Genomic DNA, 27,862 nt, shown 5'->3' with positions numbered 1-27,862 from the left:
TAATTTTTTGTATTTTTAGTAGAGACGGGGTTTCACTATGTTGGCCAGGCTGGTCTCGAACTCCTGATCTCGTGATTTGCCTGCTTTGGCCTCCCAAAGTGCTGGGATTACAGGCGGGAGCCACTGTCTTCTTTCACCTGCCTGATTCTTGTGAATGGATAAAATAGAAGGCTGAAGCCAGATGCTGGTCTACAGAGACCTGGCCATGGCACTGCTAACTTGAAGCGTGGTTGAAAGCAACCAGTGAGCCTCCTTCTAGAGCTATGGTTTCCAGCCCTGGCTGTGCACCACAATTGGCTGGGAAGCTTTACACATCGATGCCCAGGCCACACAAATCAGAATCCCTAAGGGTAGGACCAGCTATCAGTGTGCCTGTGTATGTATTATTATTATTACTTTACTTTTTCTTTTTTTGTTGTTTTTTATTTTTTATTATACTTTAAGTCCTGGGATACATGTGCAGAATGTGCAGGTTTGTTACATAGGTATACATGTGCCATGGTGGTTTGCTGCACCCATCAACCCGTCATCTACATTAGGTATTTCTCCTAATGCTATCCCTTCCCTAGCCCTCCACCCTTGGGGTATACAATATATACAATAAGAAATATAAAATATAAAAATCTTAAGTAACCATTCCTCAGAATGAGATACAGAATGGCCTGGGTTTCCTCCAGTCCCTTTCCAGTTCTTATTTATCCTCTCTTCCTCCCCTGAGGCACTCCTATGTCCTGTGACTTCTCATCACTATCCAGCAGTCTTAAGCACCAGTATTTTGTAATATTCATTCTCAAACTGAGCTGTTCTTTGGCATCACCTAGAGTTTTAATAAGGACTGGCACTAGGTTCACCCCAGAGATGCTCATTCACATAATGTGGCATCTCGCTGGGCAGCAGCATTTTTATAGCTACCAGGTGACTCTAATGTGCAGCAGTTTGGGAGCCACTGCTCTAGTAACTTGAACATTCTTAGCTGAAACAGATAGATCTCCTAGAGGCCAAACACATAAAATCATCCAGAGTAATCAGAAAGAGGCTCGGCGTGGTGGCTCACGCCTGTAATCCCAGCACTTTGGGAGGCTGAGGTGGGCGGATCACTTGAGGTCAGGAGTTTGAGACCGCCTGGCCAACATGGTGAAACCCTGTCTCTAACAAAAAACACAAAAATTAGCTGGGTGTGGTGGTGTGTGCCTGTAGTCCCAGCTCCTTGGGAGGCTGAGGTGGGGGGATTGCTTGAACTCGGGAGGGAGAGGTTGCAGTGAGTGGAGATTGTGCCATTGCACTCCAGCCTAGGTGACGGAGTGAGACCCTATCTCCAATAATAATAATAATAATAATAATCATCATCATCATCAGAAAGAGATTGTGTTTTTTAAGAAGTTAAGATTGAATTCTCCCTCTCCCCTCTCCTTTTCTCTCTCTCCCTCCCTCCTTCCTTTGTATTCTCCCTTTCCCCTTTTTTTTTGCTTTCCTCCCTCCCTCCCTCTTTCGCTCCCTCCCCTTTTTTTCCTGATCAAGCCACAGTTGCTACTACAGATGTCAGAAGTGGCTCAAATTCCATTTATTATAAAGTCCCTTATTTTTCTCCCTTCCTTTTCATTTCCCTTTCAGGAAGAAATAATGTTTTTTAAAAAGAATACACAGGAAAAAATGAGAGAGAGAGAGAGAGAGAAAGGGAGAAAGGAGAGAAATAGAAAAGGAAAATGAAGCAAGCTGAGTGGGGAAGAAAAACAAGGCTGAAAGGGGAGAAATAATCAAGGGAAAAGAGATGGGGGAGAGAAAAGAAAATGGGTTATGTCTTGACATCGTCCATTTGACCCTGTAGGTTCATTTCATAAGGGCCCAATAGAGCAAAAAGAGCTTTTTAAAATTGCCGGTGGGTACCCTGCTGTATCAGCTGACTGTAACATCATTTATCGCACAGGTTCTTAGACTTTAGAGCAAACACCTTCCCCCAGGGCTCGTTGCGTTTTTGGCAGGCAGCTAAGCATTTTAGGTTGAGAGCTGGGTTTCTAAGGCTGACTGCTTGGCCCAACCATGAAAGAATAGGAAAGAATGGTGTCACCTTGAGGAAGGTACTTAATAAACCTTTTTCAGCTTCACGTTTCATTGTCAGTAGAATGGAGTTAACAGTACCTACCTGTGATGGTTAAATTTTATGCATTAACTTAGGCTAGGCTATGGTGCCCAGTTATTTAACCAAATGCTAATCCAGATGTTGCTGTGAAGGTATTTTGCAGATGCGATTAACATCCATAATCAATTTCAGTAAAGCAAAGTACCCTCTGTAACGTGGGTGGGGTTCATCCAACGGTTGAAGGCCTTGAAGAGCAAAATCTGAGGTTTCCCAGAAAAGAAGGAATTCTGCCTCAGGACTTTAACACAGAAATCCTGCTTGAGTTTCTAGGCGGCTGGCCTGCCCTACAGATTTAGGACTCAGGAACATATTAGCAATTCCTGCCTGAGTTTCCAGTCTGCCGGCCTATCCTGTGAATTTCAGAGCTGGCAACCCCCACAATCACATGAGTCAGTTCCTTAAAATAAATCTCTCAATATATGTACACATATGTCCAATTGGTTTGTTTCTCTGGAGAACCCTGACTGATATAAACTACCTCTGGGGTAATAAATGTAATGCGCTAACCAAAGGCATATTCAATGTTAGCTACATATTTTAGGGTGTGTGGGGCTTATAATATTAATCTGCCTTTATCAGAAGGCCCAGGGATGATTCTTAACTCTGCACTTGAATATAATCTCTTATCTCTCCACAACCTTTTGCAATTTTTTTTTATAACAGATCTCAGGCCAGTTCTCTCTACATTTCATGATAGCCCCATAACATAATTAGGGTACAAATGACAACTGGGTCTTTAGAGTGCACAGCTGAATTTAAAGGTCCTCCTAGGAAACTCCTTTCTTTCAGACTCTGAGGCCTTTCTCCTTGGCTCCTTCAGCTACCTTCATTCTTTTACTCTTCTTTGCTTTTTCCTGCTTCCCCAGCCAAAGCCTGGATTCCACTTGATTTGCTTCGCCAGAGCCTGGCTACCTCCTCCATGGAAGTCAACAGGGCAGCAGCTCCAGTTCCACCCCACTCTGACCACCAGTTGAGGCCACTAACAAATATTCTCGCAGCAGTTTACAGCAAACCCCTTTGTAATGCAAGGATGGGGATCTGCGTAAAGGCAGCCTGATACACCTCAGATTTGGCTTCCCAAATGAAACTTCTTCTTTTCTGGCTTGCAGAAAAGCTGGCCAGAGGCGAGAAGTTGAAGGGGAAAAGCTACCTTTGGGAACAGGGAGAGCACTCCAGCAGCTACAGTCTAGTTCAAATTTTCCCACAAATAGTTTGGAAAGAAGGCCAGCTGAGTGGAAGGATCTGTCTGTGCATCAAGTGTTGGCACTGGATTATTTAGCCCAACTCTCTTATTCATCAAACTAAGACAGTGAGGCCCAGAGAAGAGGTCTGATTGAGGCAGTAGCTAAACGGATCCTAGGACTTGGACCAAAGGTCAGGCCCCTCCATGCAGAGTCCAGGGCTTTCTTCCACAATGCCATGTGGCCTTTAACAGCTCAGGTGGAGTCACAGGGTTTAAAGATTACATCTCCTTTATCATGAAACTAATACCAATCATGCAGGCCAACACTGTCTGGCTTCCTCTGGCTGTCCGTGAAATCTATAAGCCTCTGGATGCAGGGGTCCTGGGGGTGGGAGGCAGTTAAGGGCAGGTAACAGGAGCTGAACCACAGACTAGTATTTGCAATGAGCACAATATATGAGGGGTCAGAAACAGCCCTCTCTTCCTTAGGTGGTTTCCTATGAAGAAACTCAATCAATAATTCCAATTTCTCAGGGCTTCCAAATTCCTAATAATGACTACTTAAAATGAGGAAGTCATTCCTTGATGGAAGGCAAATTAGAAACACTTATTGGATCAGCCTCCTTTTACAAGTCACTCCAAGATGTCACCTATACTGTCTGTATCACCTCTACTGCAATACATTTGAATTTCAAGTTCACTCTACACATGATTCAAAAAAGGCTAATTTCTAATAACAAAGGGCACATGGAGAAGGTATTTCAGGAGATGTCAAAGTCTTGGTTGCTGAATTTAATGCAAGTGGAAGTCTGAAGGCTGAAGGTCCAATTACTCATGTGAAGCTTTCCAGGTGGCTTTGCTTCAGTGACCTGAACAGGTGGGAATATGAAGCCCACCTGCTTCTCTGTTTGCACAGTGACTAATACATTTATAAACACTTAATAAACATGTAACTGTGTCAACTCTTAAAATAGTTCTTTCACAACTAGAATTCAACAGATATGAAATTACTAGGTGACTTTGTAAGGCCATTTCCATAAAAGGGGATGGGGCTACACATTCTGGTGATGTTGGAATCTAACCCTTACCCACAGGCTAGAACTCCTGGTCCTTGTTATGCTCAGATCTGACTCAGGAAGCCCAAAAATACATCTACATTACATAGGGAACAGAGAACAGACTGAGACAATTTTATTCCAAACTGCTGAACCGTAACACATTTGGAAGGAAACTTTCCCAAGATTCAGAGTCAACTCTGAGTATTAAAAATATAGATCCATTTTTTTTAACTGCTGGGAAAATTGGACATCCCCAGGCAAAAGAATAAAATTGGACCCTTATCTTACACCATCCACAAAAATCAACTCGAAGTGAATTAAAAACATATATAAGACCTGAACTGTAAAACCCTTAGAAGAAAGCATAGGGAAAAAGCTTCCTGACTTTGGTCTTGACAATGATTTCCTAGACATGACACCAAAAGCACAGGTAACAAAAGCAAAAATAGACACTTGAGACTACGTCAAACTAAAAGGCTTCTGCACAGCAAAAACACACAAAAAACAAAACCCATCAACAGAATGAAAAGGCAACCTTCAGAATGAAGAAAATATGTACAAACCATATATCTAAGAAGGGGTTAATGTCCAAAATATATGACCAACTCCCAAAATCAAATAACAAGAAAAATCCCAAGTAACCCTATTAAAAATGGGCAAAGGAGTTGAATAGACATTTTTCCAAAGAAGACATACAAATGGCCAATAGGTATAAGAAAACTTGCTCAGCATGACTAATCATCAGAAAATTGCACGTCAAAACCACAAAGAGATATCACCGCTCACCTGTTAGAATGGCTATTATAAAAACAACAAGAAATAAAACAAAAGGTAGCAAGTGTTGACAAGGATGTAGACAAACTGGAACCTTTGTATGCTGTTGGAGGGAAATGTAAAATGGTACATCCACTATGAAAAATAGTATGGAGGGTCCTCAAAAAATTAAAAATGCAACTACTTTATGATCCAGCAATCCTGCTTCTGGGTATTTATCCAAAAGAACTGAAATCAGGATCTTGAAGAGATATCTGCACTCCCATGTTCATGGCAGCAATATTCACAGTAACTAAGATATGGAAACAACCTAAAGGTCTGTTAATGGCTGACTGGATAAAGAATACGTAGTACATACATACAGTGGAATATTATTCAGGCTTAAAAAAGAAAAAAATCCTGCCATATACAACAACATGGATGAATGGGAGAACATTATGCCAAATGAAATAAGACAGACAAGGACAAATATTGCATGATTCCACTCATATGAGGTATCTAAAATAGTCAAATTCATAGAAGCAGAGAGCAGCTGGTAGTTGCCAGGGACCGGGAGGAAGAGGCAAGGGGAAGTCGCTGTTCAATGGGTATAAAGTTTCAGTTATGCAAGAGGAATAAATTCTAGAGATCTGCTGTCTACCATAGTACCTATAGTTAGCAATATGGTATTGAGCACTTAAAATTTTAACAAATTTTAACAGAAGGTAGATCTTATGTTAAGTGTTCTTACCATAGAAAACACACACACAAATCCCCAAAATAAAGCAAGCACTAGAAAACTTTTGGAGTAGTGTGTATGTCTATCACCATGATTATAGCAATGGTTTCATGAGTAGATGCTTATGTCCAAACTCACCAAATTGTATACATTAAATAGATACAATTTTTGGTATATCAATTATATCTCAACAAGGCTGTTAAAAATGTAGATCCATTTTCAAATCCCATAATTTAGGAAAAAGGATAATAATTAAGAATTTTAAATAACTATAAATAATCAAGTTAAAAACAAAATTAGATAAATTCAACCGTCATTACATTTAATGGAACATGGCCTCCAAAGACATGGGAAAAACATTGGCCCCAGAGTTAGAAGGCCTGTGTTTGACTACTTTTTTTAACGTAAACTCTCTTGATATAGATCTATTTTTATCCCCCACATCTCACCTACCGTGTTGGTTAGAATTAAATTCTGCTGCAAGTGAAAGAAAAATCACAATAGTGGTAGCATAAACAAGAAAAAAGTTTATTTCTCCTTTATGAAAATTAAGCTCAGGCTGGGCATGGTGGCTCGCGCCTGTAATCCCAGCACTTTGGGAGGCCGAGGTGGGTGGATCACTTGAGGTCAGGAGTTCAAGACCAGCCTGACCAACATGGTGAAATCCCATCTCTACTAAAAATACAAAAATTAGCCAGGCATGGAGGCAGGAGCCTGTTACCCCAGCTAATAGGAAGGCTGAGACAGGAGAATCTCTTGAACCCAGGAAGCAGAGGTTGCAGTGAGCTGAGATCGCACCACTGCACTCTAGCCTGAATGACGGAGCGAGACTCCATCTAAAAAAAAAAAAAGAAAGAAAGAAAAATAAAAGAAAAGAAAATTAAGCACAAAGGAAAGTAGTTCTAGGCTGGCATGGTGACTGCAGAGTCAGCAGGAACCTAGATTCCTACTACCTTCTCGCTTTGCCATCTTCAGCATATAGTTTCCTCTCATGCCCTGGAATGGCAACCTAGGCATTACCCATCAGGCCCACATTCTTATCGGCAGCAAATGGCAAAGAAGGGCATGTGTCTGTTCCTCTTAAAAAGTTGCACTGGACACTTCGGCTTATGTGCATTCCAATGGCCAGAAATGAGCCCCATGGATACATCTTACTGCAAGGGGAGCTGGAGTTTTTATTCTAGGTGACTACATACCTAAGTAAAACCAGACACTGATTTAAAGAAAGAAGGGGAGAACAGATATTAGGGGACAGCTGCAGATATTTAAGCTGTTGGTCAAGATTTAATGAAGATGAAAACCATAAAAAGAAAAAGCTTGTTCTGGATGCCGGTAGAAGCTTTGCATGGGAATGGGGCAGGGAATAAACAAACACAAAGATTCTATGTAGCAGATAAACGCATTCTTTTTTCCATACAACCCCATTAACATTTTCTTGCCTACTAAATACCTTTAAAAACTGAATCCAAAGCTCTGAAGACTACTGGTAGAAAACAAATGCATATGTACAAACTACCTTTGCTTCTGTTTGTTTACATGTTACTAGACAACTGGATAAATGAGTCTTTTGGCATCATAAAACAGTAAAAACAGAATTATCTCTAAAAGTCACATCATGGTGCAGAAAATACAGGTGCTACAGGATTATGCATTTATAACACAGCAGATTTCACAATGACAAAAAAAAAAAAAAAAAAACCAAAACCACAGAAAGAAAATAAAAATGCTTATTAGGCCTTAGTCCATGGTGGATTTCTGGATTGGCCTATTGGCTTTGCTAATTTATCACAACAGGTAAAACAACTCACAGCATAGATACTTCACTCTGAGTGTGAGGTCAAACTGATTCCCTCCTCCACCCCCAATCTTCTTTTGTTTGAAGTCTGAATAGAAGGGGTGATTTACTGGAATGATTTTTTGAACTTGTGGTTTGTTTTGGTACGCATAGAGAATGGATACTGACAGTCACCAGACTTATACAGGCTGTCACTGAATGTGGACATTCACTATGTATATATAGCCTTTGCTGCCACCTCCCTCTAGTTAGTGTTTGCCTCCTAGAAGCCACAGCTGCTGAAAGGAGTATCTAGTTAAGGAATAAACAGGTTTTAGGTGGAGCCAGCAGCTGATTCTTGGCCTGAGGTTGAGTTGAACTCTACACAGAGAACACAGACATACAATGTAGAAGGGGACTCCAGTGAGCCTTGATGCCAACTCTCAAGCTCCCTGAACCCCACGTGGAAAGCAAGGAAGGCTCCCTAACCCAAAGAGACGTTATGGGTGTGGTTTCTCACCACAACATGGCGGGGTACAGTCCTCTCTCTTCTGGCTTGTGGTAGTGCAAGCTGATGGCAGAGAAGTGGGGATTTATTGTTTTGACACCTTGGGTTCCTAGAGAAACTGGATTCTATGCTTTCCAGTCTGGGGAGCCCCTGAACTCCCATGAGGTGCAAGCAAAGCACAGCTGTCCTAGAAAGTCCTGTTTTATGAAGCCAACTGGATGTAATCTTGACTCTTACTGAGTGTGGCCAGCAAAGTACGGGGCAACTCAAACAAATTTACAAGAAAAAAACAACCCCATCAAAAAGTGGGTGAAGGATATGAACAGACACTTCTCAAAAGAAGACATTTATGCAGCCAAAAGACACATGAAAAAATGCTCATCATCCCTGGCCATCAGAGAAATGCAAATAAAAACCACAACGAGATACCATCTCACACCAGTTAGAATGGCGATCATTAAAAAGTCAGGAAACAACAGGTGCTGGAGAGGATGTGGAGAAATAGGAATACTTTTACACTGTTGATGGGACTGTAAACTGGTTCAACCATTGTGGAAGTCAGCGTGGTGATTCCTCAGGGATCTAGAACTAGAAATACCATTTGACCCAGCCATCCCATTACTGGGTATATACCCAAAGGATTATAAATCATGCTGCTATAAAGACACATGCACACGTATGTTTATTGCGGCACTATTCACAATAGCAAAGACTTGGAACCAACCCAAATGTCCATCAATGATAGACTGGATTAAGAAAATGTGGCACATATACACCATGGAATACTATGCAGCCATAAAAAAGGATGAGTTCATGTCCTTTGTAGGGACATGGATGAAGCTGGAAACCACCATTCTCAGCAAAATATCGCAGGGACAAATATCCAAACACCGCATGTTCTCACTCTTAGGTGGGAATTGAACAATGAAAACACTTGGACCAGAAAGTGCAACATCACACACCGGGGCCTGTCGTGGGGTGGTGGGAGTGGGGAGGGATAGCATTAGGAGATATACCTAATGTAAATGACGAGTTAATGGGTGCAGCACACCAACATGGCACATGTATACGTATGTAACTAACCTGCACGTTGTGCACATGTACCCTAGAACTTAAAGTATAATAAAACAAACAAACAAACAAACAAACAAAACAAAACAACATATGGGGCAGAGGTGCCTCGGCAAAAGTCATCTATAAGTCACTTAAGCAAAAACTTGTAGATAAATCAGAACAGAATAGCCATTTTTATAAATAAATCTTGTAGGCCTTAACTACTTCAGCAATATGTGGGTGACCAAAAAAGCTCACTGCCCCCTCAAGAAGCTTTTCTCAGGGATTCCTTACCAAGAAAGTGCCTGCGTGTAACAAAAGGAAAAGTTCCAAGTTTAAAGAATAGGAGAGGTTAGAAACAGAGGGAAAAAGAAGTGAAAGGCATGAAGTCTAGGAGTGCTCACAAGGGCAGCCTTCCTACTGAGTTTAGCTTGCCCAGTGAATCCTAAGGCTTCAAATCCTTTCATTTAGAGTTTGAACATTTTTAATTTACTCTCTAGATATGATAGGAAACCAAGGTTGGTCCTACTGATATTCTAGAATTGCCACATTCTGCCTGCAATAGACTTCCGGGGCCAGCCTGTGAGCTTAACACCGTTTATAACCCCATTTCAGTATACAAGGAACTCCACAGTCACAGCTGCTATTAGACCCATTAAATTTATTAGTGTTAGTCATTTGCAATTGGTGGCAATCTCTATTTTATTTTTTCCCTTTCCAAATGAAAATAATGGGCCTTTTCAAGAAAGTATAACAAAATCTTGCATATCAGTATGCAACAGTAATAGTTAATGTCCTAAAAAATTGCTCAGACTTTTTCCTGGAGCAAGAAGTAAACAGGAAAGGCAACTGGCATTAGAAGATGCCTCGCTGTCTGCATGAAAGCAGGATCGGCAAGAGATGATGAAGTGCTTTCGTTGCGGTGTCACAAAGGGATGGGGCTGCCCACAAGAGCTTCTTCCAGTGTCAGTTCAGTGAACTTTGGGAAACTTCCCTCCCTGACTCCATGACAGCGCCTCCTTGAAGTGCAGTAATGAAAGCATTTCCCCTGATTTCCTCTCTTTTCTGGCTTGTGGCAGCAAAGAAGAAAGACCGTATCATCTGCTGGCTGATGAAAACTTGAATAGCTGTATACTGTCACCAGATCATTTGGAGGAAAAATGATAAATGCCCTAAAGAAAGCCTTGGGATGCTATATGTAAATCTGAGGTAAGAAGAGCCAATAAGGTCTGTGACAACATTAAGCCAGTTACTAGCAATGAAGCAATTATATGCACAACGGAAACAATCTACAGTGACAGCTATAACAAAGGCACAGGAAAGTGGGCAGGAGACTGCTTGAAATAATCTGAAATATCTAGTGTCCTGAGCAGAGAAAAGTGTGACCTGTTCCAGAGCTTGAGGGTCAGAAAGAGCTGGAATTATAACTGGAGACTGAAGGTCTCTATCATACAACTTTCTAATTGTTAAGTGCCTTAGCTTTTAGATGTGCCGGTGAAGGCGTATCTTATAAAATGACCGATGGCAAAAAATCTCAAAGTAAAATGCAAGCATTCTGAATGAAAACAAGGGGAAGGAAAGTAACAATGAGAGTGTAAAAACTATCCATGAAGTGATGGCATCTGACTTGGGCCAGGGTGCTGAGAAATGGGCATACTTACACACTACTTGCAGAAGAAGAAATTGCTACAATCATTCTGTGACAGGCAGTTTACAAATATGTAACCATGGCCTTAAAACTCTGTGATCCCTTTGACTTGGAAAGTCTATTATCTGGATATTATCCTAAAGAAATATGTATGGATATGAAAAGTGATTTAATGAAGTGTTCAACCACCACCACCACCAGCACCACCACCACCATTTCTTAGATGCTCCTTATGTCCTTCACAGGAGAAAATGTTTATTCTGGATGCTGATGGAGGCCTCAGGTGCGGGATGGAGTTGGGAAATGAATAAACACTTAAAATTTCTGTGGAAGAGACAAATGCATACTTTTTGAAGAACAACACATAACCTTTCTTTGCCTCTAAAATAACTTTAGAGATGAATTAAAAGTTCCTAAGAACTGGATGGTAGAAAACAAACGCATATGTGCAAGCTACCTTTGTTTCTGTTTGTTTTAGGTTACTAGACAACTGGATAAATGAAAATGTCTTGGCATCATGAAAACAGTTCTTTTAGTTGAATATTAAAAGGAAAAAACAGAATTATCACAAAAGTCACATCATGGTGCAGAAAACACAGGTGCCACAGCTTTATGCATTTATAACACAGATTTTACAAGACAGAAGAGAATGAAAATGTTGACTGAGGCTATTGTACTTTCCATGTCTTAACTCATTTCATGATGAGGATGTTCATTACAGTGCTATTTATGTTGACCTCCTAAATACCCATTACAGGTGACTGGTTAAAAAAATTCTATTGCCATATAATGCAAGCATTAGGAACCTACTACAAAGGGTCACATAGAGCTATATTTATAGATATGAAAAACAATCTCAACATCCTCTGAGGTAAAAAACACATAAGTACTCTACAGTATATACAGTGTGATGCCTGATATGATTTGGCTGTATGTCCCCACCCAAATCTCATGTTGAATTGTGTTCTCAATTGTTGGAGGTGGGGCCTGGTGGGAGGTGCCTGGATCATGGGGTAGTTCCTAATGGTTCAGCACCATTCCCCTAGTGCTGTCTTCTGATAGAGTTCTCACAAGATCTGGTTGTTTAAAAATGTGTAGCACTTCCCCGTTTGCTCTCTCCTGCTGCCATGTGAAGATGTGCTTGCTTCTGCTTTGCCCTTCCACCATGATTGTAAGTTTCTGGAAGCCTCCCCAGTCATGCCTTCTGTATAACCTGTGGAACTGTGAGTCAATTAAACTTTTCTTTATAAATTACCCAGCCTCAGGTAGTTCTTTATAGGGGTATAAGAACAGACTATTGTTAACAATGCTAATAGTGTCAATGTAAATGAATTGGGAAGATAATGATGTTACTTTTGTTTATCTGGAACTTTTAGATTTTTAGAATTAATGTATTACAAAAAAAGCACAATTTATTTTAAATGAGTTTTTTTTTTAGAAATTAAAAGACTTTCTTCCACAAGAAAAAACATATTTATCTGAGCAATTGTGAGGAAAATAAAGAATATCTCCAAAGTGGGGCTGATGCAGGGAAAGACTCATCCCAGATATGGACCTGCAAGACCTAATAATTCAAAATGGAGAATTCCTGTCAGCAGGTTGCATTTTCAGGGGAAGAGGACATATTTGTAGTACAGAACCCATGGCCTGGGGCATTTTAAGCCAAATTCTCCTTTGTTCACTTGGGAGCACAGACAAGAAGAGGCGCCTCTCCTCTTACTCCTTCTGTGACTCCTCAATTGCTCCTGATGTCCCTGAGCCTACTGCTGGGGTCCTGCACCCCTCGATGTATCTTGGTGGGGTGGAATGCTTATTCTGCTCTCGATGAAAACCTTGGACAAACACTGAAACCCTCAGGCAACTCAAAAACCACTGAACAAAGTGGATGTGTGGGCAGCTGCTTTTACTGGGCATAAGAGGAACTCCCTATCCCAACCACTCTCACCCCCAGAGAAATGCAAAAGCAAAGACAATTTCATAATTTTTCTGGATGGGTTTCTAAGCCTTCTGAACTGTTGCTTAGGGCATTAGGCAACCTATTTGGTTAGGTTTAACAATATTTGTGAAACTGTATGTTTTAAGTTATACTGAGAAGTTTAACAGATATTATACTGTATTATGTTTAGAAAGGAATCTTTCTCCACATGAAGGTCAAAACTTACAAATAACATAGTATGAATAAGTGTACTGAATACACACTTTCTTCTTCAGACAACATTAAAAAGATAGATTTCATAGCTTAAATAATGCTCAGAAATCTTCCGAGAAGAATTCCATTAAGTGCAAAGGTGATATATTTCTTTGTAAAGGGTGTTATTGCCTTTACAAAGATCTGGAGTGATGGTGGTGAAGAAAAAGACTGTCGCAGGTGCATAAAATACATTGACTTGCTTAAAAATATTCTAACTTGTACATGCATCAAGATCATGCAATCAACTTCTGCATAAATTTAATCAGCTTGCCTTTCCTCATCTTATGAATGAGGAAACTGAGGCACAGAGAGGCAAAGTGGCTCGTCCAGTTTAGAAACTTGCTTTTTTACAATGAAAAGATTGTCCCCAATGAAACAAAACCAGAAGCTCAGTAAAACTGTTGAAATATCACTAGACTATTTCACACTGTAGCCACATGCTACTATCAAGGCCAGAAGCTACTTACAGCTTTGGAGGTAGAGGGTGTAGGGGAGGGAGGCCCCTTATATACCAGTTTTCTAGCCTGCTCTGAGATTAGTATCACATTGATACAATCAGAGAAAAAGGTGCTGGTAGGAGTTTTAGCCTATGAATAGTAGTATTATACAGTAGCCCACTTGTACCCAGTGGGGATACATTCTAAGACACCCACTAGATGCCTAAAACCATGATAGTACCAGACGCTATATGTACTATGTTTTTTCCTATACATACATACATATAATAAAGTTTAATTTATAAATTAGGCATATAAGAGAGTAACAATAAAAAAAGAACCATTATGACAATATACTATAATAAAAGTTACATGAATGTGGTCTCTCTCTCTTTCTCAAAACTATCTTATTGTTCTATACTCACTCTCTTCCTGTGATGATTTGAGATGATAAAATGTCCACATGATGAGATGAAGTGAGGTGAATGACTCAGGCCTGGTGGCATAGCATTAGGCTACTACTGCTCTCCTGACAGTAGGTCAGGAGGAGGATCATCTGCTTCAGATGACCCTGGGTCACCGAGCCAAGATGAGGTGGATGTCTAGATGTCAGGAGCAGAAGATGTGGCTGCTAACAGGCGGGTAGTGTACACAGCATGGATGTGCTGGGCAAGGGGATGACTCATGAGTGGGCAGGATGGAGCGGGCTGCTGTGAGGTTTCATCACGCTCCTCAGAACGGTGCTCAACTTAAAACTTATCAGTGGTCTATTTCTGGAATTTCCCATTTATATTTTGAGATGGTGGTTGACCACAGGTAACTGAAACCTTGGAAAGCAAAACCTCGGACTAGAAAGGGACTACTGCATTTTGTATCGGATTGATAGCAAGCGAGAAAAGAGTTCATGAGGTCTCGACCCAAGTGGCTACAACTCACTACTGTGAAGAGTTAATACTACCCTCATGTAAGGGCTGCCATCACCATATTACATGGCTGGATTTTTGTTTAATCTTCAACAGGCTAGCAACTGCAACTCACACCATCTTTCCATTCCTGGGCCTCCATAACCCTAACTGTTATTCCCACGACGTAAAACAGAGCACAAATTTAAGGTGACAAAGCTCTGGTTGGTAGACGTGAAGTATGTGATGAGAACAGGACCCTCTGAGTACTGCACAGCCATTATGAAGTAACTGACCTATATGAAACTGCTACCATGGTTCACAAATTTATTGTCAGGTTCCAGCCTCTAGCTGTTCTCTGATTGTTCTAAGTACTTGACAAACTGAAGCCTTTTCACTTTCCGTTGAAATTGCCTCATCTCCCTGTCAGAGCGCCATGGGGGACTCCATTACTTTTCTGACTTCTCTCCCCTCCTGACAAGTCATTTAGCTGGCTTCTTGTTGTGAAGGCTGTCCATGTCAAATTAGCCAGGGCCCCTATTGTCCTTATTACCACTCGAAAAGCCATCATGAGTAATGCTACGGGGTCCCTCAGTTGTCATCATTTGTCAGAAAGAAAGGGAGTGTGGTTACATATAGCTGACAGGTAATTTCAGTGTCTACAATTACCCCAATTAGTCTTGTCATAAACAATTCGATAAATGCACACCAATACAAACAGATAAACACACCAAGGTCTCTCACTATTAATGCTGTGTATTGGGTAAATCAGTGATATGATGCTATATTTTATTTATTTTTTTAAACTATCCTCAGCTGTGAGCTGGCACTTGCTACCTGGTCAGCACAAATTGTACTATCTACTTTCATTAGCTCATCACCACAAGGAAACTTGAAAGGCTGTGACAAAATTCATTTAGAGAGAGAGGGAAAGAGCAGATTGTTATAACACCTGCTTTAGGCAAGGATATAACAAAGGTTTTCTTTTTGTCAGTTCTAAGCAACTATGGGCTTTAAAGTTCACTATTTTGTGTTAAAACACCAACATATGAAATATGAGAGAAACAGGGAGTTGAAAAATAATCTCCACACTGAAATTAGATATATGATTTGAAAACAAAAACAAAAACAAAAACCTACTGCCAAATGTGCCAGTCAGCAACCATATATTTTAAAACAAGATTGTGGGCTGGTAATTTCACATTTAAGATAATTACAGTTCTCTTCAACTAAGGATTCCCCACTCCCTTTTTAAAACTGTACCTTAAAACCATATAAACCAATAAAGCTCACCATGTTCGGGGTCAAACTTATTTATCTACTCCAGTCCTCATAGGAATTTGTTGAATAAAGGCATCAACGCTTCTCCTTGCTGGACTCAGCACAGAGGTGATAAAGACCTGGTAAGTGTGGCACACTGGTTCTCTCCCATATTCTCGAAATACCAGGGAATGAACCTGTTTTAACACAACACCCTCTAGGAGCACTCTTCAGTTACATTCTATATTCAACCCTGAATAAAACGCCCTTAAGTTCGCTCTTGTGATCCACATAAATAAAGGCTCAAGATTCAACATCTGTAGCGTCCACTGCACCCTGTCTGTTTGCTGACCGCAATCTTAAGTGATGGCTGAAAAACCCAACACGAGGATATTGTTGTAGGAAATTGCTCTTGGCAACTATTTGTTCAAGCTCAAGATTTTTTTTTTTTTTAAACCAACACTAAGAACTCACCAGAAAATAGGACAGGTCTCCCTAATGAGTAATCTATTTTAGCACAGTCTTGTCTAGGCATGACAGTTTACTGAGAGGCTTGAAAAACTCGTAATTACCAGTGTTACAGGGCAATTAATGTATATTACACTGCACTACTCATGGCAGCAACTGTCATTTTCTCAATAAAAATGAGTACTCTTCAGCTAAAGGTGACATTAATTGGGACTTTAATGACTATGCAGAGGAGCTGAAGCCAAATATGAACAAAACAGCGATTCAATGAGCGACTTCAGAAACGAGAAAATTGTACTAAAATGAGATTAATTGCTGTTTAGAAAAAGGAAAGAACCTAAAAAGCTATTAAATTGCAGGGTTTGGGTGCCCGGGTGATGGTTGTGATGTTAATCTTGCATTCTCACAGCAGGCAAATATTCACTAAATTCAGAGCCTTTTGACAGCAGGAAAAATCATGTATGCTTAACTTCAATCCATCAAAAATATATTTCAGCTTTTATCAGTGTTCTAAATACTTCTGCAATTTCAAAAATTACTGCTCCATTCCTTGGCTGTCATCATGCAAATGTGAACACTGTCAATATTGCTATGAAAAATTTCCCAGCTTCAAAAGGCCTACTTCAGTGATAAAGAAAGAAAAACGTGAAGATTAGAATTGCAAAACACACACTACTAATATAACAGAAATCAAACAATAAGAATTTAATGTTTAAGTTGTGGAAACTGCTAAAATAGAAAATGATGGGGTGGGCCTTTTTTTTGGTAGAAAAATCAAAGAAAAATAATTCTGAAATTCTTTCAAGGCGTGTAACTTTACGCTTAATTAATCATCCCCAATAATTAGGACAGAATTTTGCAGCTTGACTTCAGGTACTATAATTGTTAATACTGTTCTCTAGTTTCTAAAGGCCTTTTTATCCTTGCTTCTGCGTTCTTTAAAAACAATTATATAATTGTTTTTCTTTATGGCCTTTTCAAATATCATGATGACTGTATATACAAAACACAGCACTTAAACTTTGACATGTAAGGGGGATAAATATATTTGATAACTCTGAAGTTATATATTCCCTTACTTGGCCTTTTTTTTTTTTTTTTTTTTAAGAGAGACCATCAACTTAGTATTTTTGTTAAAGAGGGAGTTTTCAAAAGAGTTATATTTTGGACAGAAATGTAGCATGCCCAATAGCTGCCCCATAAAAAGATTAGGCCTGACTTCTGAATACTGTGCACTTTCCTACTGCATAAGCAATCCTGTTTGTTCTCCATTTTAATATTTAAAGAGCCTTCTCATCTACAGTTTAGGTCAGGGCTCAAGACACATTAACAGCCTTATAATTCTGGACATACTCAAGAACCACATCCACTAAATGACAGGGGGTAGTGAAATAGTGTACTTTCCATCTTCAAATCAATGATAAGCCCTGTCTATTCTAAAAATCCAGAAATACAAATCACCTGACCTCCATTATGAAGACTGGTTATTGGCCACTTGTCTGCCAGAATATACTTAGAGGGCCACTGTGGGAGAAGAGGAAGGAATGGAGAGAGAAACACATGCATACCCACGCATAAGTCTGTACAAAACGGCAGGATATTCTGCCAAGTTTTATCTTCTAGCTGTTTTATTCACTATAAGCATGCTTTCTTACGTTTTGAACCCAAACTTGAGTGTAATCATCTTTGCAAAACAAGTTGCTTTCAGGGTCCAGCATTTCTCCAGTATTACCTGCTCCTCCTCTTCTTCCAATTTTCCCTTTTCTTGTATCTAGACTTTCATGTTAACAGCACAATTCTTCCCCAAGAGTCTAACAAATGTTCTTTTTAGTCCTTTTCTGGGGGGTGAAAAGGGGCTTTTGTTATTCATTGTGCCATTTCAAAAACCAAGCTTCTCTTATACCTCAAAAACAGCTTTATTTTAAAGACAAAAAATTCACCAAGCTCCCCCTAAAAGTCTTTTCAGGCAGAGTCCTTAGAGAACACAGGTGCCTTTGGCTAAATTATCTCCACTGACAAACCATTCACATAAATTTGCTTTTTTTTTTTTTTAATAAAAAAGTACATGTCAATAGTTTGATTCCATTTTGTCTATGCAAATACCATTGATAAAAATTTCAATGGAAGTTTTCAGGGAGTGGAAGAGTTCCAAGCTAGGTATTGAAATGGGACTCAGGAATAGGATACTAATTCACCAAACTTGCCAAGAATGATCTAACCCGGTAGCCATACAAAGGCAACTGCAAACCATCTACATGATCCCAGATAATCCCTTATACTGTATCTCTAGGATCTCATCTCCATTCTGCAGTTTACTGTGAGAGGCTCCGTTTGGGGCTCCAGGTTTCCCATTTGCAAAATGGGAGCAACTTTGTCATGCTAAATTTGCTGCCTGTGAACTAGCGCTGAGCACTTGGCAGACACCACCAGCTCCAGGAATGTTAACGATTGGAATAAACCTTTAGGAGAGTTCCTAAAATGAATTTATTTGATACTGTTGTTCAATTGCTGAAATTCTTTACCCCTCACAGTTGCCGCAGTGGTGCTATGAGAAAAGGTGATCACATTGAATCATGCGAAAGGCTTGCACAAAAAAGCAGGAGGCATTGCTCTTTCAGCTAAGGCTGAAATTCCATTTTTAACCTCATTATTATTTTGCACAAATATCATACGTCTCTCTTCCAAAACACTATTTAATAGTTTAAATTTCTTATTCAGGCCCCTCCTAAGATTGAAATGTACCACAATGCCCATCAATCTCACAATTGACAGACCATGTTTAAGCTGGGAATAGTGACAAGTTACAGGGACTTTTTTAAAAAAATCAATTCCAGGAGATTAGTAAGATGCGTTTTTAGATACATACCCTCAGAACATTATAAACTCAGTGAGAAGCCAAACTGGAATATCTCAAGTTTGGAAGATGAACAATATTTTGATGTGCCAAGGCTAATACATTATATGTTTCGAGTCTTACTATTAAGACCTGTAGCAACTGTTTCAAGAGATGAGTAGAAATGAAACAAATGGTAAATGTTTATTCAGTCACACAGTTCTGAAAGAAAACAACTGTTAATTTGCATTAACTTGGGATCACTTAGCAGACTGCTTTTTAAGAGCTATCACCTCTCAGCAGCCCATAAAACAGGAAGCTTTCATTCACATCCCTTGTACCTGCTCCAGCAATATGATATTTCATTTACATTCATTTTCCACTCACCACCAATATTCAACAAATTAAAAGTCACTTCAAAACAGATAGCGTTCTTTGTCATTGGGAGGAGAAAGTCAGTGCAGACAGATGCAGCCTCATCTACTTTATCTTCTGAAATACAAAGTTCTAGAAAGATAAACTTAAGGTATGTTTTGAGTCATCAATTAAACATTGTATTTAATATATCTTTGGCATAACCAGGACAGTTATCCTGCATAAATAAAAATTTAGTGCCCTATATTTATAGGCAACAGAATCTAAGCTATTTAAATGAAGGTAAATCATTTTTATTCATCAACTTTTATTTCGAGTTCTGGGGTACATGTACAGGATGTGCAGGTTTGTTACATAGGTAAACGTGTGCCATGGTGGTTTGCTGCACCTATCGACCAATCACCTAAGTATTAAGCCCAGCATCCATTAGCTATTCTTCCTGATGCTCTCCCTCCCCTGCACCCCCAACAGGCTCCAGTGTGTGTTGTTCCCCCACCCATGTGTCTATGTGTTTTCATTGTTCAGCAGCCACTTACAAGTGACAACATGCAGTGTTTGGTTTTCTGTTCCTGCGTTAGTTTGCTGAGCATAATGGCTTCCAGCTCCATCCATGACCCTGCGAAGGACATGATCTTGTTCCTTTTTATGGCTGCATAGTATTCCATGGTGTATATGTACCACATTTTCTTTATTCACTGTATCATTGATGGGCATTTGGGTTGATTCCACGTCTTTGCTATTGTGAATAGTGCTGCAATGAACATACACGTGCATGTATCTTTATAACAGAATGATTAACATTCCTTTGGTTATATACCCAGTAATAAGATTGCTGGGTCAAATGGTATTTCTACTTCTAGATCATTGAGTAATCGCCACACTGTACTGTCTTCCACAATGGTTGCAAATAGCAATTTTTTTTTTATATTTTTAGTAGGGATGGGGTCTCACCATGTTGCCCAGGCTGGTCTCAAGTTCCTGGCCTCAAGTGATCCACACACCTTGGCCTCCTAAAGTTTTGGTATTATAGGCGTGAGCTGCTGTGCCTGGCTCTCACATTAACTTTAGAGTCTTCCACCTAGGCAACACTGGGTGCTTTTAGAACATTGTTTTCAGGAATACCTAGGAATTTCCATGGCATTAAGACATGAATTAAATCTCTTCTCAACCATATGTATGCCTATTTTTAACTCTATTAGTGCCATATATATATATATATATATATATATATATAAAATAAGCATATATATATGCTTTTATCAATAAAAATGGAATGAAGTTCTTGGTAAAAGCAAACATAAAGAACACTTAGTTAAGTAGTAAAAATATTCATTTTGTGGATATTGATCTAAAATTTAAAATACCTAAATCAATCAGACTGGGCTTCCCTTACCCAGTACCGTCTAAATGTTAGAAGGTTGTTCATTTATTTTAATGTTTCAATACAAAAATATAAAAAATAAAAGGGGAGGTTTTGGCAGTTCACATTAGCAAAAAGACAGATGCTTTTTCTTGTCCTACCTATAATTTTGTTTGTTTGCTTTTTTACCTCTGAGTTGTCCACCCAACTAGCCCCACACCTCCACCTGCTGATCTCCATGGCTTTTCCTAATAAGTTTTGTAGGTCTTTGTCTCCCTTTTCAGCAGTTGAGTTATAAGGTTGGCCTCTTTTATAATTATAGTATAGCTTTATCTTAAAAAGTTTCGGAACTGGCAATTCAGTGAGTTAAAATGGGAAGATATTTTTCAATTGGCCAAACAGCTAATTCTTAAAACTGCCCTTACTTGGAATGAGGGCAGCTGGATCAAAACAGGTCTCCTCCCACAGACTGAGCTCAAGCCACTGCCTCAGTGCTCCTTCCTGCTGTACGTTAAGTATTGAGCTATCAGCAACGTCACCCTCCATCCCACACATCAGAGACTGTAAGCACCTTGAGGGAAGGAATCAAACCCATCCTTGGATGCCTGGTACATAGTAAATGCTGAAATCCTGGCTCTGACGCTGATGAATTAATATTGGACAAGTCACTTTATCTTTCTGAGCCTTTGCTTTCCTATCCATTAAAATGCTTTCAGTTTCCTAGAGGAGTGGTTAGCTCAAACGAAATAATGTATATGGAGGTGCTGAATAAATGCAATGGATTACTACAGCTGTTGTTAATAATTAGCATTTGGATTTATAGAGTAAAATTGCACTGTTTCATGGGACGAATGAGGGAGGTTCCTAATGGTCTCAACAGTTTTTTTTGCCATAAGGAACATACAAAAATGTAGTTCCCTAAGAATTTTAAGATGACAGTCATACCCACATAGGTTTTTTGGTTTGGATTTGTTTCTTCTTCCCCTCTCCTGTGCCCCCACCACACCACCACCGCGAACCAACACATAATTCTTTTCTAGGCTCTGGATCCTGCTCAGGAAGAAGTGAAGTGCTCAGGTGACTGGGTCTGGAGTTTCAAACAGAGGCATTTTCATTACGGCAACACAATGCATTTGCAGAAGGTATACTGGCTCTGCTAAAAGGCAGGATTCTGCTGAGGTGGCCAAAAGGTCGGGGGACCTGGTTGGTGCCCTGTCTCCCACCTCCCAGCACCAATGCCCTTTCCTTCTCAGACTTGCTGCTCCTTCAGAACCTGTGTCCTCCCTTCACTCAATGGCCTGGTGAAAATAACATAGATAGGAGAAAATCAGCGTGAAAAAAGAACACTTGGACAGGTAGGCCACCTCTCTATGGTTGTTTGGGAGCTAATAAGCTGGCCTTGACAAAAACACAGATGTACTTTTTTGTTTTTGCTTTTTAAAAGAAGAACCACTGTTCAATTACTGATGCAATAGCATCCCATTCCTAATGTTCAGATCCGATCTAGCGGCAGACAGCCAGCTGAGTTCAGTCTGAATCGTGCCACAGACTTCATAAGACAGCATTTATCTAGTGTAGGATGAATAATTTCCACAGACAGTGGAATTATTTGAGAAATCTATAAAAATAATGAAACTTCAGAAACCTTGGTGAGCTTAAATGCTACATGGGCCACATATCTCCAGTTCCCTAAAGGACAAAAGGCACTGCAGGTGAATCCAGGGCAGGGCATTATTTTTAAGTCACCAGAGCAATACAAACACATTGTTTGCTTTAGGTCATCTGGTTTGTCTTAATCACAAGCTAAAAATTCATTTATAATGCAGTATACAAATGCCATGTTTATATCAGTATCATATGCTGCTTGCTTGAAATCGTATACATTAAAATTAAGAACAGAAATCCAAGTTAATGGTCTAAGACAACCAATAACAAAACCACTAAATTCCAGTTGTCAAACATCATTTAATATGTATATTTCTGGGGTTTTTTGGAACAGTAATTATTAAAACTTAAAGCGATACGAGTGAGTGTTTATGACTTCCTATTGAAAAGCCCAACTTAAAGAGCATTCATTTCAGGTTGAAGAAAATCACGTGGCCGTCTCTGTGCGATGGCCTACTGACTTTATATCCTCTTGTCAAACCTCAGCAGTTTTATTTGTAGTGATACATGCCGGAGAAGGTTGGAGGTTAAAGTTGATAGGAGGGGCAACAGGAAAATCAACCAACTCCTTTCAAGAGATTACAACCTTTAGCATTTTGGGTCTGTCGGCAGTTTCTGCAAACTTTACAAGTCTGTGGTTGGTGATGTTTTTAAAAAACTGACCCTCAAATCAGAAGTCACATAGATCTAGTAAATGCACTTTTGCTTTGAAATAATCCCAAGTGGTGAATGTACCCCCCAGTTGATGGCTGCACGTTTTGTTTGTTTGTTTGTTTTTACTTTTTTGGTACCTAAATCTAAAATGGAAAAAATATCTGCTAACTTCTCAAGTATCTGAGACCTTGGAAAGTGAAATTACTAATCCGAATTCACTATGTGGTTCCAAAAACAGGGAAACAGCTGTTGTGAGAGAGGAAAAAAAAAAAGGAAAATGAAAAGGCCTCTGCTGGAGGCAAACTTTGTTGGGCAAGGAGACAGTTTGTTAGTGCACCGGTTTCTGCCCTGCAGAAGTGTTCAGATTCTTAGCAGTGTCACACTGAAAAGTGAGACATCTGGCTATGGCATCTATGCCACAGCACAGAATTATAACAAAGTCACAAACTAAGACCCGGCAATGACTGCAAAACATCTCATCCCGTATCTATTTACCTCAACTTGGCACACACTGGTTTACTTACAGATACTTTCCATCAAGTACTTCTAGTTACCTGTTGTCAAATGTGTATTATGTGGCAGGCACTATGTATATCTAAGCTCACTCAAACTTTACAAGAATCCAAATTGTGCCCATTTTACAGATGAGTAAGAAAAGAGAGAGAAATTGAGAGATTTGCCCCAGGTCATACAAATGAGAGACCAAATGAGAACCAAAGTTATTTCCCACTGCCACTCCCCCAGACCTGTGCCCTTTCTACTCAGCTATATTGCTTCTTGGGTTGTAACGAATGATTAAATAACTTCTAGACTATTTCCCTTCATGGTTAAATTTTTAAAATCCTTATTAGCTGATTTTAACTCACAGTGTAGTGTTATGTAGCAGCAAGGGAACAAGACTCAGAGTGAAAAATCCTCAGGTCTTGTATTAGGTCAGCATGTGGTTGGCTCGGGGGTCTGATAATATTATTGGCTGCCACTAATTATTAGGAAAAATGTTTTGGTATTCAAAGAGTTCTCTATGTCAAAGTGGTAGACAGCAGTTATATAATACTAAGTACTTGTGAAATTCAAACAATTCCTACCATAAATGTTAATTCATTTCTGTTTTTAAAGATTTTACTCAACCCACTGATTAGTGTTCAACACTGAGTGACTTAAATCTCCCTGGGCCTTGGTTTCTTCACTCATGAAATTAGATTATATCTATGAGAGATCTTGGCTAGCTCTAAGAAGACTAAGTCTGTGATTTTTTAAAGAAAACCACTTAATTCTAATAAATACACTCATAAAGCTTTTCAAGGAAATAAAGACACTTACCTTTATGAATGAAAGTTAAGAAAAGAAACACAACTTTGAGAAAAGTTCACTTATAAAAAAGAGCATGGAATAAATGAAAACTCTAGGCCAACTGAAGCCGTCCAACAGCCGCCCTTTTTTTGGGAGCCCTTGCAGCTGCAAATAAATGCTTTAAAAATAAATTTACTTGGGAATGACCTGAAAGGCAAATTATTTTGTCACCCAGAAATGTTTGTTACAAGTGTTACGGGAACTATCAACTTTTATTTAGAGAGATAATATAACAAACATTTTCCAAACATTGCTACTTATTGTTTAAGATGAGGAAACACATGCTGGTTGAAACTTTTTTTTTTTTAATGCACTAACTGCTGAGAAATTTCCAACAATTTGAAAATGTTTTTTGTTATTTACAAACACATTTCATAAAGATTCCTGGTAGAAAATGTTTCCTCGCTCCTGTAATTCCAGCACTTTGGGTGGCTGAGGCAGAAGAATCGCTGAGCCCAGGAGTTCCACACCAGCCTGAGGAACATTGTGAGATCCCATCTCTACAAAACATAGAAAAATTAGCTGGGCATGGTGGCATGCACCTGCAGTCCCAGCTACTTGGGAGACTGAGGTGGGAGGGTCACTTGAGCCTGGAAGAGGGGGACGCGAATGCTGCAGTGAGCCATAGTCCTGGGCAACAGAGTGAGACCCTGTCTCAAAAAAAAAAAAAAAAAAAAAAAAAGACACGTTTCCAACTTTTAATGATACCTTGTTTTCTTTTACTCACAAAGTAGCAGTGTGTGTGTGTGTGTGTGTGTGTGTGTGGAACCATATATTTATATATGATATGCATATACGTGTATGATATGCAGGTAACAGTTTTGTTTTGTTTTTGTTTTTGAAATAGATGAAGCATTAAAACAGAGAACATAGCACACCAGAACTCAGAAGCACTCAGTTCAATTCCTGGTGCAAATAAGTTGGACACTAAACAATGCAAATGATTTAAATGGTACTGAATATAAGGAATGTAACTACTCCTATCATAAATACCTTTCTTTCCAACCTAAATTTAACAGAAGAGGACAATACATGTCCTTAATATCCCATATATATTTTCTCCACTTCCATGTATCTGTTTTTGTTCCTTTTCTATTTTGCACTTGTATTTCAGCAATAACTTCCCACTTGGCCTCCTTCCTCTTTCTCTCTACTATTTCCACTCCCCAATACAGACAAACAAAACAAACTTCCAAAAGCAAAGAGCCCCACAAACCAAACACCTCTAATTGGTCTTCTACATGGTAGCTTAATAATACTGCCACATATCAAATGAATTATGTTAGCAATTTGCTCAACAAAACTATCAGCGCTGCCCCAGAGACACTGAAGTCTGTGGTGTCACAGGAAGCTTTTCTTTACCTGGATCCTGTTCCTTTCGCTCTAATTGTACTAAAAACTGTTTTTTGTATATATTTCTGTGTCCTATGATTTGAACAATTTTTCATAAGTAGTATTCTTTTTTTTTGGAGATGGCGTCTCACTCTGTCGCCCAGGCTGGAGTGCAATGGCGTGATCTCGGCTCATTGCAACCTCTAACTCCTGGGTTCAAGCGATTCTCCTGCCTTAGCCTCCCGAGTAGCTGGGATTACAGGCATCCACCCCCACGCCTGGCTAATTTTTGCATTTTTAGTAGAGACAGGGTTTCACCATGTTGGCCAGGCCGGTCTTGAACTCCTGACTTCAGATGATTCACTCGCCTCGGCCTCCCAAAGTGCTGAGATTACAGGCATGAGCCACTGCACCCGGCCTCATAAGTAATATTCTTAAATGAGTTAGTTTAACTGATATGAATCAATTCTATGCTTACACCCTAAGAGTATCTAAAAGTAATATATTCATATTTATTGATAGATGCCTAAAATCAATATCAATAATATAATAATATTACAGATGAGGAAGAAGACTAGTTAACAGTTGTTTTGAAAGTTCAACAGACTTGTCATTCAGAGTTCTCTACAGTGAACCATGCATATTTTTGGAAAGTAATAGTTGTTTAAAATAATAATGAGACCAGAATTAGATTATTCAGAATGTAATATATACCAAAGTTGAACAAATGGTTAATTTAAAAATATATATAATAAGTTCATTCTGGCCAGCATCATGTCTTTAAAAGTTCAGTACTTATCAAAGAGTGGAAATTTAATGGAAAATAATGACAAATTTATTATCTTTTATAGGGTCCTGGGCTGATAACAAATGAAGTGTTTAACTTAATATAAATATTTTAATGGTAAAAATGAATCACAGCTCTACAAATGCTTGGAAAAGTGCAATTTTTTCCCTTTAGTTTTATTATAATCTATCAGAAACCTCTGATGTTTAAACTGTATGTATAACCCTGGCTGGGTTTCCATTAAGATGCATTTATCATAATCTGCTCATACATATACTCTCAAATATACAGACAATAAGAACATCACCACTTATTCACCCTTTCTGCTTCCTGACTTATGGATGTATACAAAAGTGATTGCAAATAATGATATTACAGGTACTCAGCTGCTTCTGGGATGTAGAAAGCTAGACATGGCAGTATTCAGGTCAATGGCCATATATCAGAAAAACTTCATGCCACAGAGATGTCCTACAGCCAAAACATTCAATGTCTCAAATTACACATGGGCTAATTAGAGCTGTACACAAAACAGCAGTATAGTTGAAGGCCATTTTCAAAGTTATCATCTGAGCTTGATGTGCAGAGGGGGTCCGATTCAATTTGGTGAAATGAGATTCAACTCAAACATTTATAGAGATTTATTTTATCACAGGTGGTTGGAAAAACCTTCCCTAATCATGTTATCATGATTTGAAAAAAAATGTATTCATTCATTTCCTTGTTTATTTTCTGTCTTGCTCATCACAGTATGAGATCCCTAAGGATAGGGCCCACATCTGTCTTGTTCATTTCTGCATTCCTGGTTCCCAGAATGGTGAACATAGTAGGCGCTCAAGAGGTACCAACTTAATGAGTGAACATATTACCCTTGCTCTCAAGGAGTTTATGTGAATTTGGTACACTGGAAAGGGCAATCAGACCACGCTGAGGGAGACCTAGATCCCAGGATGCAGCTAGAGAGATATTCAGAACCAATAATCCTCTGGCTTCTTAATGAACATAAAAAAGATGCTAATGTGGCTGGTTGACATTTGCTCCCCTATGGAGAAACCAGGATAACAGGGCTGTGGGTATGGACCAGAGGCCTGGGGGAAGTACTCAGTAGTCTGTTGCTGTCTCCACTGAAGCAGATGTTGCTCTGAAGAGCCTGCAAGGAAAGTGGGCCTTTTTTGCTATGTCCCCTCATTGCAGAATTCCTCTGTACAAAATGGAAGGACAGAAAAAAATGTTTGCAAAGTCAGTCATCTGGTGATGCATTTCATGAAGGTCTAGTAAATTTCAGGGAAATAGAAAACCAAAATTTTCAGAGACTTTTTAAGAAAAAAAAAAAAAAAGACAAAAAATGTCTTTAGAATGAAGAATAAAATGTTTAAGTCAATGGGTTTACAGACA

At 39.3% G+C, this 27,862-nt stretch overlaps 1 protein-coding gene across 14 annotated transcripts in view, besides 2 other annotated features; it reads right to left on the bottom strand.

Annotated features, from left to right (window-relative positions):
- Positions 1 to 27,862, bottom strand: part of CDIN1 (CDAN1 interacting nuclease 1) — a 230,619-nt gene that overhangs the window by 38,462 nt on the left and 164,295 nt on the right. Inside the window, exon 11 of one of the 14 annotated variants that reach the window (NM_001290233.2) lies at positions 24,542 to 24,848. The exons of the other annotated variants lie outside the window; for them this stretch is intronic. Within the exon in view, the coding sequence (NP_001277162.1) occupies positions 24,704 to 24,848 (145 nt within the window). The 3' untranslated portion in view covers positions 24,542 to 24,703. Of the gene's footprint in view, positions 1 to 24,541; positions 24,849 to 27,862 lie in introns of those variants that run through there. 14 annotated transcript variants of the gene reach the window in all.
- Positions 14,040 to 14,089: an enhancer, noted in NCBI's record as "active region_9194". NCBI's record gives its function as "activates an Ori minimal core promoter by ATAC-STARR-seq in GM12878 lymphoblastoid cells {active_cell/tissue: GM12878}" and the evidence as "EXISTENCE:reporter gene assay evidence [ECO:0000049][PMID:35858748]".
- Positions 18,182 to 18,750: an enhancer, noted in NCBI's record as "OCT4-NANOG hESC enhancer chr15:37045234-37045802 (GRCh37/hg19 assembly coordinates)". NCBI's record gives its function as "activates a minimal SCP1, AML or CMV promoter by ChIP-STARR-seq in primed H9 embryonic stem cells {active_cell/tissue: H9 hESC(primed)}" and the evidence as "EXISTENCE:reporter gene assay evidence [ECO:0000049][PMID:30033119]".

This window comes from Homo sapiens, chromosome 15 (assembly GCF_000001405.40).
Source record: "Homo sapiens chromosome 15, GRCh38.p14 Primary Assembly".
Classification (NCBI taxonomy): domain Eukaryota; kingdom Metazoa; phylum Chordata; class Mammalia; order Primates; family Hominidae; genus Homo; species Homo sapiens.
This window is presented reverse-complemented; position numbering and strand designations above follow the sequence as displayed.